At 52.8% G+C, this 13,117-nt stretch overlaps 2 long non-coding RNA genes across 3 annotated transcripts in view, besides 2 other annotated features; one reads left to right on the forward strand and one right to left on the reverse strand.

The window, feature by feature from the left end:
- The window catches only part of LOC105371024 (uncharacterized), a 116,308-nt gene that overhangs the window by 62,794 nt on the left and 40,397 nt on the right, over positions 1 to 13,117 (forward strand). The gene's annotated exons all lie outside the window — the stretch shown is intronic.
- Positions 3,218 to 3,847: an enhancer, noted in NCBI's record as "OCT4-NANOG-H3K4me1 hESC enhancer chr15:101322275-101322904 (GRCh37/hg19 assembly coordinates)". NCBI's record gives its function as "activates a minimal SCP1, AML or CMV promoter by ChIP-STARR-seq in naive H9 embryonic stem cells {active_cell/tissue: H9 hESC(naive)}" and the evidence as "EXISTENCE:reporter gene assay evidence [ECO:0000049][PMID:30033119]".
- On the reverse strand, positions 5,109 to 5,633 carry LOC440313 (protein enabled homolog). Its single transcript, XR_001751715.2, has one exon. It is a non-coding gene; the product is annotated as a protein enabled homolog (long non-coding RNA).
- Positions 8,578 to 8,778: a silencer, noted in NCBI's record as "peak2455 fragment used in MPRA reporter construct". NCBI's record gives its function as "represses an SCP1 promoter by STARR-seq MPRAs in K562 erythroleukemia cells {active_cell/tissue: K562}" and the evidence as "EXISTENCE:reporter gene assay evidence [ECO:0000049][PMID:32103011]".

Consider the following 13,117-nt stretch of genomic DNA (forward strand, 5'->3'; position numbering starts at 1 on the left):
TAAGTAGATTTCTTCCTTCATAAGCAAAGCCTACGTAGCATCGCGTCCACTTCCCAGGGGCCAGGCCGGTCGGCCTGAGTCAACCCAGGGTGCAGCCACCCGCGGTAAGTTCTGGTTGTGGGCACAGGGCTGCTTCAGAGCCAGGAAAGACCCAGAACAGGCTAGACAGGCCCTGCCTCCTCCCCACCCCCACCCCAGAGGTCCTGCAAACACGTGTGTCCTGTCCATCTGCAGGGAGAGGGGGCCGAGGCCCCTCGGAGGAAGTGGGCCGGGCCTGGCCAGGTGCTCGCCCTCTCCCGAGTCAGGGCTGCACTTAGATGACGGCAGACTTCCAGGTGGGAAGTGCAACATCCTGGCGTCTTAGGGGCCCGTCCAAAGATCCAGATGTTTGGCGCCAACAACCCCCAAACCCGGGTGATTGAATCTGACACTTTTTTATAGAGTGTAGGCACAGCTGGCCAGAGGAAGCTTGTCTGTATCCATTTCTTCTCTCCCAGCTCCAGTGCGCTCCCGAGTTCTGATTCCAGGCAACTTTTGGCAGCTCATTTTTTTATTCTTACGCTGGGAAAAACTCAAGAGTCCCCACCTCCCATTTCTATAAGAAGGGACGCTGGGGATCTGGCCTATTTGATGGAGAGGTGGGAAGGGGATGTGGATGAAATTAGTGCTGTAGGAGACGGGGGTCCTGCATTGGATGGGTCTCAGCGACAGAATCTTTGTGGCCACTCTTATTTCTAGGTTTCTAGGACCATAATCCAAGTTCCACAGAACCCCCAAGAGGCCCAGAGGCAATGCCTTAGGAGGCCTCAGAGAGGGAGAGAGACCAGGAGAACATGAATCTCCTTTTTTCCAAATCATTCTTCTCCCAGCACCCCAGCATCCCTGGGGTCCCCAGTCTGGCCCCATAGGCAAACCACCTGTCGCTCCTGGGACACACCTTGCACTCTCCACCTCTGCAGCTCTCCTCTTCTTCCTCGCTGCTGACCTGTGGATCTTCATCATCTTTCTCAGCTCCAGTGCTCCTTCCTTCCTGCAGCCTTCTGGGAGCACCCCAGTAGACTAATTGCCTTCTCTTCCCCAAGCCCATGGACTAGGATGCATTTCTGTGGCGCACTTCAGCTAGCAAGTCTTCCCACGGACAGGGATGGCCAATCACCTCTGCAGCTTCCCCAGCCCAGGGCCCTGGACGTGACAGCCACACTTGCTCAGCGGAAGTTCGTTGACATGAAGTGAAATGCAAGGGGAATCTGTTGGGGGGTGAAGAAAGAGCCAATCTGGAGCCACCCGATAGGGCAAATGCCTCGAGACGGACACCTGTAGTTTGGGGGCCCTTAGACCTGCCTCCCCTGACGTGTTTAAAAAATCATTACATTGCCAACTGTAAGAATTAGGAGATCGCACTTAGGAATCCAGGTATTCAGCTTTTGGCAATAAATAAGTAAATAAATGAATCCCAGCAAGAGAAACCAGAGATGATCAAGGCCCGCCCACGAGCCAAGGCCCCATCCTGACAACTCAGTTGAGCGTGTGAGTTTCTGGCCTGCACCCGGTGGGTACCGAGTTGGGCATGCCCTATGCCAGTAGGTGCTGAGGAGAAGGCAGTTGCCTTGGGAATGGGCAGAAGGACAGGAATCTTTCCCAAATTTTACTTCAGGCCTGACTAGGATTTTAAGTCCACACCCGAGAGCTGCCCTTTACCTTCCTACCATGAAGCGCCTTCTGAAGAGGGTGACAGGCCATCCCCTCTGCCTGGCGTGCCCACATTCAGGTTCTGCCTCAGCCGGCAGCAGACCTGCCCTCAGGAACTCTGTGTAGCATTTCTGGGATGTTCTCCTGCTTTCCAGAAAACCAGAGTGGGTTGCCTGCAGGAGTCCCCACAGGCATGCGTGGAAGTGGTGACCGTCCCCAACCATCCCCTCCACAGAAGAGAGGCTCATGCCTTCGGTTTCTATTTCCTGTCAATTTGTGTCCATACCAGTCTGTTTAAGGATAAACTTAATTTATGTTAGTTTAAAAACATAAATAATGCTTGGGCTGATGAATGCGCTCACTATCTTGACCATGGTGATGGTTTCCTGGGGGTCTACCTATGTCAAAGCTACCAAATTGTACACTTCAGATAGGCACGGCTTGTTCTATGTCAATTATACCTCAGTAAGGCTGTTTAAAAAATAAAGGCAAGAGCCACCGTTTGAATTTAGTGAAAAGGTGGATGTGGAAGTGTCCACACAGAACCATGAACCTCATTTAGCCAGTGATTCTGTGTGGATGGTGTGATTGGCGTTTGGGAGAGCAGGTCAGTAGTGACGGGCCAGGGCAGGGCCCAGAGTACAGGGACCAGGCGGGTCCAGGTGCCCCCAGGAAACCCCATCTTTCTCTCTTGGCACATCCCTCTCCCCCGGGCCCTTCCAGGGCTTCTTTCTCACCTTTGTTTTGTCCAGGGATCTTCCAGTCCCTGGTGGGTGTCAACAGCTCCCAGCTGAAGAAGCAACACCTGGGGAGATCCTGCATCCCAGAGGCCTCTCTCTGGAAGCAAAAGGCGTGGGGAGAAACACCCACACCCCTCCTTTCCTCCTCTGTGCAGCCCCTCTGTCCTCTGAGAGAGGACTGCTGGGAGTGGCCACTCACCACTGCAGCTGTTCCCAGGGGTTCTCAGGGATCTGTTTCTGTCTTTGCTGAAGCCCACAGTGCACACATCAGTAACAGCATCTACCAAATAACTTATCTAAAGAGATAGAGGAAAGCAACTCTCAAGCTAGTAACAAAAGGTCACCTCTGTAGGGCAATCTCTGTCTGCCCTGCCCCTGCCCATTCAGCCCCTCTGATGGGCCAGGCACTGCACCAGCCCAGGGGATTGCTGTGCTGGGAAGGCCTCTCCATTCTGGTCACAGTGGCAGCCTGGGATCCCTGCTCTCCATCTCCCTAATGAACTGTGACTCTCCTGGAAAGCATCTGTTTTCACGAAACGTAACCACGGAGGAGTGGGCGAATGGAGAGGGGAGGCCAGAGGAGCTCCCTGGGAAGGCGCAGGCAGTGCCCTCAAGGCAGGTTCACCCTTTCTGCAGCCAGGGCTGCAAGGAGGGACAGGCAGGACTCGGGCTGCAAGGAGGGACAGGCAGGACTCGGGCTGCAAGGAGGGACAGGCAGGACTCGGGCTGCAAGGAGGGACAGGCAGGACTCGGGCTGCAAGGAGGGACAGGCAGGACTCGGGCTGCAAGGCATACTGAGGCCTCCAAGGGCCAGAGGGAGCTGACCCGCTTGCTCACCCTGGCTGGGGGCCACACCCTGGCACATCCCACAGCATTCCATATCATGGGGGGGGTTACCCTGCTGTTCCCTGGAGCTGGTCCCCTCTTAGGCATGGTGTGCTATGAGCAGGGCCTGGGACCCTCCTCAGGGGTCCTGGCTTTGTGAGGGAGAAAAAAAAATGTGTCTTCTACCTTCTTATGTTCAGTGACTGAGGTCCTGCAAATTAAACTGACAAAAGGCAATTAACAAGAGAAAAGAACAGATTTAATTATATACATATGCGTGGGCATTCACAAAGAAATGTGACTCTCTGAGGTGGTTAGCATTTGGAGCCTGTGTAACATCTTAACAAAGAGCCATAAATTGTGGAGATGTGGCCAGCATGGTGGCTCATGTCTGTAATCCCAGCACTTTGGGAGGCCAAGGCGGGAGGATCACGAGGTCAGGAGATTGAGAGAAGCCTGACCAACATGGTGAAACCCCATCTCTACTAAAAATACAAAAATTATCTGGGCATGGTGGCACATGCCTGTAATCCCAGCTACTCAGGAGGCTGAGGCTGGAGAATCACTTGAACCCGGGAGGCGGAGGTTGCAGTGAGTCGAGATCGTGTCACTGCACTCCAGCCTGGGTGACAGAGCAAGACTCTGTTTCAAAAAAAATAAAAAAATTGTGGAGACATGACAAGACAAAGGAAAAATGTTTTGAGCTTCTAGGGATGGCAAATGTGGAAAGGGATACATACGGGGGAAATAATGGAAGATAAGGGTTGTTAAAGGTTATGACTATTCAGGTTGGTGCCATCTCCGGTGATGAGTTGTGGCTTCTTTCTGGTACAGGAGAGGGGAGGAGGAATCCTTCACAAAAATGAATTTCTGGGCCAGGCACCGTGGCTCATGCCTGTAATCCCAGCACTTTGGGAGGCCGAGGCAGGTGTTGAAGGAGGAAGTCAGGAGTTCAAGACCAGCCTGGCCAACACGGCGAAACCCCGTCTCTACTAAAAATACAAAAATTAGCCGAGTGCGGTGGTGCATGCTTGTCATCCCAGCTACTTGGGGATCTGAGGCATGAGGATCTCTTGAACCGAGGAGGCTGAAATTGCAGTGAGCCAAGATTGCTCCACTGCACTCCAGCCTGGGTGACAGAGTGAGACTCTGTCTCAAAAAAAAAAAAAGATAAATTTCTGCCCTCCCTTGAGGCAGATGGGAGCATGGGGAGTAGAGAGCTTTTTCTGCATCTGGCTGTTTCTCAGTTGCCTTCAGCTCAAAATAATCCTTATGTCAAAGCGGCATCCTTTGGGGTGGCATATTCTGATGCTTTCACACTCCTGCCTCCGTGCCTGTGATCTCCTCATCATTCTGCCTTTGCTCCAGAAAGCCGTGCATGATGGTGCTGGGAGTCTGGCCACAGAGATGAGATTCCCAGCTTTGCCTGTCATCAGGGGTGACATCTCAGCCAAGGCCAGCCCCCTTCCTAGGCCTCGGTTTCCTCTTCTGTAAAGCAGAGAGGAACACGGTGCCTACCTCCTGGCGGGCAGTTACGAGCACTCCACAACAAGATAAGGTGAAGTAACAGCCTGTGTGCACCAGGTTCTCCTTACATACTAGCTAGATGCATGACAGAAAGCTACATTACAGAAAGGGACAATGATGTTCACAGTGACTTCTGAGCCAGGTAGCACATCACTCCCAAACACTGCCGTGGATATTCTCTCACTGAATCCTTATAATTATGTTCTTTTATGGATGAGAACAGGAGAGCTTAGAGACATTTGCTGCCTGGCCCAGGTCCCATAGCCCACGCCATGGCTCAGACTCCCAATCCCACGCTGCCTCAGACCCGGGCTACCCTGCCCTGGCTCACTGAGATGGTGAGTCCTGCTGTTCCTTGGATGGTGCCTGCAAGCCCCAGGGAGGTGTGGACGGAGGGGAGTTTTGCAAAGGGGTGGTGCTGCCCAGATCGGGGCTCCATATGGGCAGAGGGAGTTCTGGAAGGTTAGAGATTCCCCAAAAGACAAGCTGAGGAAGGGAGACAGCAGCAAGGCCAGGAGGGAGGCCAAGGAGGCAAAAGACGACAGGATCAGAAAGAGGCAGGCAGGAGGCCAGGGCAAGCTGCAGCAGAGGGGCAGACTCCGTGAGGTCAGCGCTGCGGGTGCAGGGTGCAGAGCTCGATGAGACCCGGGATGGTCGCAGCAGAAAGCCTGCGCCCTGGAGAACTGGAGGAGGCCTGGCGCATCCCCACTGCTGGCAGCTCCTTAGAGGCACTGGCTCAGCAGGAAGAGGAGGCCAGCCAAACACCGGGGCAGGTGGGGTGGGCACACAGGGAGCAGCGGGGAGCCAGATGGGGAGAGGAAAAGAAGCTGTCCCCAAACATGGGCAGAGCATCCTCACATCTGGTCAGCTACACATGGACGAGGACCTGTGGCTCTCAGGTCTGATGATCCCCAGCTCTGGGGAGGGCTGGAGCACAGGGGGCTCTCCCACTGCTGGTGAGAAGAGAAGCTGACCGTCTGCAGCACCTGCCAAAGTGAAGAAACTCAGTTCCACCCCCAGGTACTTTTCTGGCAGGCACTGTGCACAGGTGCACCTGGAGACAGGTAAGAGGATGTTTATGGGGCAACCTTCCTAAGAGCCAAAGATCAGAAGCAACCCCGAGTCCATCAATAGCAGAAGAGAGAAAACAATGGAAGAGAGAAAACAATGGTTGTGTTCATGTAATGGGCCATGCACGGAACTGCAATAGGAAATGAGCGAAGACCAGGCAATGAAATAGAAGGATCCCCCAAACACACTGAGCAAAAGAAATCAGGCACTGACGAGGACATGCCCAGTGATCCCAGGGGCAGAAAGAGGCCCAACTCAACTCTGGTGCTTAAGAACTTGTAAGTAAGTGATAAACATCATTAAAACCAAGTACATGACTGTCACAAAAGTCAACGCAATGGTTTCCTCTTGGGACAGCTGAAGGATTCCCAATGAGACAGGCTCTTGGGGGCACTCCTGAGTCAAGGCAATTAGCCGTTTCCTATGGCATAGATGTGCTTTCAAATTCTACGTTACGTGGCAAATATCTGCTATATGAGTTTTCTGTGATGTGTGACCAATCACACTTACACAACAAAGAGGGGTGGGGAGTGGAGAAGCAGCCATCACCTCACCTTTCAGGACCTACAGAAGGAAGGGTTGAATGAAGCCAGCTTCCCTGATCCAGTGATGTAGACAGAGTGAGGAGGAAGGGAAGGGCCTGCCTGGGGCCAGCTGTGATGTTCAGCATGAGGTGCTACCTGGTGGACATGCCAAGGTGCCACCAACCATCAAGTGGGCCACAGGAAACAGCTGTAAGATCTGTAAGATGCAATTATGTCAGGGAAATGGTGACTTCAGAAGGTAGGCAGGCAGGTGGGTGGATCATATTTGCCTATGGATATTGGAAACCTCATTCCACGTGGATATGAGTGACTGTAGGAAGAGGCCCAGCGTCACAAGCCCCTCGGCCCCGCAGGAGAGCCCAGAGCACCTCAGCTGTAGCTGAGAGCTCCAGAGCTGTAGGTGCCTTGTGCACCAGGGCGGTGGGAAGGCTTGGAGGGAGGAGCACCCAAGGTGTCCCTGTTCCAGACCAGGCGGTGTGCAGAGGCCCTGGCAGGGGACGATGCTCACAAGCCCCTAAGAAGCTGGGCTCAGAGAGGTCAGTGAGTTGCCCCAGGTCCAGGGGCTGCTCACAGGCACTACTGACTTTCAGCTCAGGTTTTCTTGGCCCCAGGAAGTTGTTCTTCCCACTATGCCATGTCATGACTCATTCATGGAGTGAATTTCTTGAAATACTTTTAGTTTCAAAAACTAATTCGAAACACCTTTTGTTGTTGTTGCTGTTGTTTTACTTTGAGGGGGGCGGTTAATGGGCTTTTACATCAATTGAGATTTTGTCTGAAGCCCTAAGTGAAGATCAGTTCTGCATTTGGACTTACCTGCCCATTTGCAGATGGTCAGGCCCGTTTCAACCTGAGGAAATCCCTAGATCAATGTGATGTGAGAGTGTGTGTGAGAGTGTGTGAATGTGTGTGTGTGTCAATGTGTGTGTGTACGTGTGTGTGAGTGTGTGAATTTGTATGAGTGTGTCAATGTGAGTGTGTGTGAGTGTGTGTGAATGTGTATGAGTGTGTGTGTCAATGTGTGTGAGTGAGTGTGTATATGTGTGTATGTGTATGTGTGTGTGTATGTGTGAGTGTGTGAATGTGTGTCAATGTGAGTGTGCTTATGTGTGTGAATGTGTGTGAGTGTGTGTCGTGTGTGTGAGTGTGCGTGTGTATGTGTGTGTGAATGTGTGTGTGAGAGTGTGTGTGCGTGTCAATGTGTGTGAGTGTGTGGGTGTGGGTGTGTGAGTATGCAGGCGTGTGTGTGTGTGAGCATGCAGGTGTGTGTGAGAGTGTGAGCATACAGGTGTGTGCTTGCTGTCCTGAAGTTAGATTAGGCAGGGCCGTCTCATCAAGCCTCCAGCACAGCTGTTAGGGGCTGAATTGTGTTTCTCCCGAATTCATGCACTGAGGCCCTAAACCCATTCCTCAGAATGTGACTATTTGGAGACAGGGCCTTTAAAGAGGCAGTTAGGTTAAATTGGGGTCGTTAGGGTGGTCCCTAACATGATCTGACTCGTGTCCTTACAAGAAAAAGAGATTAGGACACAGACAGGCACAGAGGAAGGATCACATGTGGATATGGAGAGAGGGCGGCCGTCTGCAAGCCCAGGATGGTCTCAGAGAAACCAGCCCTGCCGACGCCTTGATTTGGGGCTTCCAGCTTCCAGAGCTGTGAGAAAAATCAAGCTGTTACTTAAGCCTCCCATTCTGTGGTGTTTTGCTACGGCAGCCCGAGCTGGCTGAGACACCAGTCTCCAGTCCCTCAGGGCTGGGAAGTGGGTGCGTCCCACCTGCCTTCACGTCTTCTCCGGCCCACCCTTCACGAAGATTTTGCCCCAGGGAGGAGCCTCACGGGTCACCTGGCCAGATCGCCTCTCTAGACCCAGGTGAGGATCGGCCTGCTCCAGCTCACATGGCCCCTGGTCGACCTGCTGCCACCCTGGAGGCAGAAGACTTCATGGGACGGGGTGGGGAGCAGACCTGGGTGGGCGTCATGAGCCCACAGAGAAAGATTCTCCATCACAGCTACACAGCAGAGTCCTGAAACTCAAAAACATGCCCCTGCCGGGGTCTCCCCAGAGCAATTAAGGCAGAACCATTGAATAGGGCCCAAGCCTATGCGCTCGCTTTGTAACTTCTCCGGGGACCCTAACGCGCAGCTAGAGCTGCGGCGCCCGCTGAAGGCGCATCACGGACACCTGGAGGCGGCTGTGGCTCCTGCCGCCTGGGTGCGCTTCTTGTGCTGGTTGAGCGTGCTCCTGACGCCAGCGTGTAGGCTTCCTTCCATCCTATTGCTAAATCCTCCTTGAGCAATCGATGCCATCCCCCTGACTTTTCCGGAGAAACCCCTCGGTGGCTTTGCTCTCCATACGGAAATCGCGTGCCATTTCTGTTGTCACTGATTTCTCCAGACATGTTGAACACGGGCTCCTGTCCCTCCCAGCACCACACCTGCTGCCTTCCCCACACACCCAGATGGGATGAGGTCAGCTGCTCTGGGAGCAACACAAGAGCCCAACCTGCCCAGGCTGCAGCTTCCCCCGCACAACTGCACCCAGCGCCAGGCTGGGGTGGTGTCCATGCAGAGGCGGCAGCTGCTGTGGGGAGCCAGGCAGGCCGGGGTCTAAAGTGTGGCCCAGCCACTGACTAGTAGAGTGGTAGGGGTCAAGCAGCCTCACCCAGTGAGCCTCAGTTGATTCCTGTGTAAAGTGGAGCCAGGGACACCCAGCCCCTGGCTTTGATCAGGTGCCTTTGTTACTTTACCTTTTGTCTCTCTTGCCTCGCACCCTTTTGGCATCCTGTGATGGCAGGAGATTCCCATGTTGCTAAGCAGGCTTCAGTCACAGGGATCTCCCCTCAGTTCCCCGCCAATCTCTGGAAACTCCCTCTCCTGCTTTTCCTTCTGAGAATCTCCAGAGTCAGTTCCTGCAAGGCTCTGCCAACCTCCAAGCATGCCCCAGGGCTGGGATGAGAGGGAATGGGGAGGTAAGAGGCCCTGTGCAGGTGGGTTGGCCGCCCATCTCTCTGCCCCTGCTACTTCCCCTGCAGCAGTTTGGGGTCCCACCAAGGGGCTGCACACTGCACCTTGCCTTCTTGCTCACCGGCATCGGATGCACCGGAAGGAAGCAAGCTCAGCACTGCCCACGTGCTGTGCCTTTGTGTAGATTACAGAAGGTGCCCCCCTGGGCAGCAGCAACCCCTGGCATGGTGTGGCAAAAGTGGCATGAGCTGGATTTCAGGTCCAATTTGCCTCCTAGCTGGGCACATTTGGCCCAATGCAACTACACAACTGAACGGAACAGCCCTGAAGACCATCGCCATTCAATCATCACCCAAAGAAACCATTTCTAGCAAGGGAAACAGCAGCTCACTGCAAAGCCTGATTCTGCAGTGTCTCTTCCCAAGCCCTGCATCTGGAGCATGAACTGGGGGGAGGTGATGCCCATGGGATTCATCCCTGTGTTTCCTCTCTGACACACAGAGAGTGGGGTCCTGCACAGGATGGGGGCTCAGAAGCAACAGGCTGAGCCAGTGCTTACACTGTGGCTCTGTCTTTACTGTGTGGGCTTTCTGGGTGATCGTGCCTTTCTCCGCTCTGCGAACAGTCAAGTTAGCATCCCTTAGCAGACACACAGGACCTAGAAGACTGTGTGGGCAGATGCAGCAATATTGAGGCAGAGGCCCCCAGGCAGGCTCCTGGATGCCTCAGGTAGAGTTCCAGAATGAAATGCCTATGAATGTGTCTCCCAGGACAGCACAGGGTTTTACTCTCGGCTTCCCCTTGAAATCTGAACTCTTCTCTTCCTGTTGCCCTCCACTGTCTTGGCTATGATGCCCTGCCCATTCATTGATTCTGCCAGCAAGCATCGAGCACCTACTATATGTGCTTGGAGGAGCTCACCACAGGGGAAGGGGAGTTAGAGAGGGAGCCACCTTTCCAACTGACATAGGCAGAAAGGAGTTTAGGAAAGACGGCTTTCTGGAAGAAATACAGCCTCCACTTGGCAAATGGCTGCTGTGCACCAGGCCTCATAACAGGAGGGCCGCAGAGCTCAGCAAAGGGAATCTTTGCAATTGGCCTGTGCTGCCGCCTGTCCATGCCCAGAATAGCAGGGAACCAGCCCTTGTGGATGGAATGGAATCAGACGGGTTGATTCCAGAACTTGTGCCTTTCCCAACACCTCTCCCCACTCTCTGTCCACCCGCCCCCTACCCTGCCACTCACCATGTTGTGGTTTTGTTACCTCCGGCTGTTACCCGCCCAGTGGGGTATTAGTTGGGCCAGGAACACCTGCCCTCAGTGTGTGCCCTCAGTGTCTGCCCTCCTGCCCTCCTCACAGGAGCCCGTGCTCTTACCCTCCCCCTGTGCCAGGAGGGCATGACCCCTCACCTCCCAGCGCCCTCACTCCTCGCTGAGAGGGGCAAGTCTACGCAGGAAGGGGATGGGCTTGCCCTCCCACATCTCAGGCTCCAGCGGGCAAGGGCACAAGAATAGTGTAGGGTTGGCCGGGTGCGGTGGCTCACGCCTGTAATCCCAGCACTTTGGGAGGCCAAGGCGGGCGGATCACGAGGTCAGGAGATCGAGACCATCCTGGCTAATACGGTGAAACCCCGTCTCTACTAAAAATACAAAAAATTAGCCGGGCGTGGTGGCGGGCGCCTGTAGTCCTACCTGCTCGGGAGGCTGAAGCAGGAGCATGGCTTGAACCCGGGAGGCGGAGCTTGCAGTGAGCCGAGATCGCACCACCACACTCCAGCCTGGGCGACAGAGCGAGACTCCGTCTCAAAAAAAAAAAAAAAAAGAATAGTGTAGGATCTGCAAAGTGGCCTGAAATTGCTGCCCTCTCATCATCTGCCTACTGTGGGCGGACGACTTCCTACACTGTGTGGGTTGTGATTTTCTCAACATCTCCATGAGGGAAGAGTGGCTGTCTATGTTCTACAGATGAAGAAACTGAGAAGCAAGACAGGGATGGGACGCCCCTGCCTCACATCACCGGGTGGCCCGGAGCCACATCACACTGCATCCTTGAACTTCACACCATGTGCCGCTTTCTCTGTGCCTCCTCCCCGCATCCAACCACCCTGGATGTGAAGGAAGATCAGGATCCTGAGGGACCAGGGTGCTTCTGACAGAGGCACCCCACGATGTCCTGACCATCCTTCCATGCCTTGGAGGACAACGTTTGGAGCCAGCCAGCTGGTGACAGGAACAGGCCTACTAATATCTTTGCACTTCCATTTCCTCATCTGCAAAGTGCAGGTAACTGCACCCAAGTGCCGGAAGATCTGGATGGAGAGACCTCAGCCAGCGGAGTGAGGTGTGCAGCACACACATAAGCTGTCCAGAAGCAGTAGGTAGAGGAGCATGAAACGCACTCTCTGCTGTCAGGCAAGTGTTTTTCACAGCAAGAGCTCCCTGGCATGTTCCTTTTATGTGGGCCCCCATCCTAAATCATCCCTCCCTTCATGTGGCTCAAGCCACAGGCATTTGGCAACTTCCTTTGCCTCGTGACCATAGATGTTACCTCTCGTATCATGTACCAGTTAAAACTTCCCTGGGTCCCCTTATAAAATGAACTTCCTATGTTCATATTCACAGTAGCATTATTTACAAAAAGATGAAAACAACCTAAATGTCCAACAATGAATGAATAAGCAACATGTGGTATATACATACAATGAAATATTATTCCACCTTCAAAAGATTCTGACACGTGTTGCAACATGGTAAGCCCTTGAGGACATTACGCTCAATCATAAGCCAGTCACGAAGGACCAATGCTGCGCGATTCCATTTATGCGAGGTGCCTGGAGTCATCAGATTCATAGAGACAGAAAGTAGAATGGTGCTTGCCAGGGGCTGAGGGGAAGAGGGAATGTGGAGTTAGTGTTTAATGAGTACAGAATTTCAGTTTGGGAAGATGGAAAGAGTTCTGGAGGCGGATGGCAGTGATGGCTGCACAGTAATGTGAGTGTGCAGAGTGCCACTCAACTGTCCACTTTAAAATGGGTGGCCGGCACAGTGGCTCACGCCTGCAATCCCAGCACTGTGGGAGGCTGAGGCGGGTGGATCACGAGGTCAGGAGATCGAGACCATCCTGGCGAACACGGTGAAGCCCCGTCGCTACTAAAAATAAAAAAAATTAACCAGGCATGGTGGCGGGCGTCTGTAGTCCCAGCTACTTGGGAGGCTGAGGCAGGAGAATGGCGTGAACCCGGGAGGCGGAGCTTGCAGTGAGCCGAGATCGCGCCACTACACTCAAAATAATAATAATAAAATAAGGGGAAAGCTTCATGACATTGGACTTGGCAATGATTTCTTCGATATGACACTAAAAGCACAGGTAGCAAAAGTAAAAATAGATAAATTTTATTATAAAAAATCTGTACATCAAAGAATATAATCAACAAAATGAAAAAGCAGCCCACAGAATGAGAGAAAATATTTACAAATTATATATCTGATAAAGGGTTAATATTCAGAATACAGACAGAATTCCAATAGCTCGACAGCAAAACAAAACAACAAAAAAAAACTCAATTAAAAAAATGGGTAAAGAATTGAATAGACATTTCTCCAAAGAAAATATACAAATGGCTAACAAGCACATGAAGAGATGTTCAACATCACTAATCACTGAAAAAAACACAAATTAAAATCACAATAAGATACCACTTCATACCTAGTAGTGTGCCACCTTAAAAAAATAAGAAGAGTTGACAAGGACATGA

Source organism: Homo sapiens, chromosome 15 (genome assembly GCF_000001405.40).
Source record: "Homo sapiens chromosome 15, GRCh38.p14 Primary Assembly".
NCBI classification, from domain to species: Eukaryota; Metazoa; Chordata; class Mammalia; order Primates; family Hominidae; genus Homo; species Homo sapiens.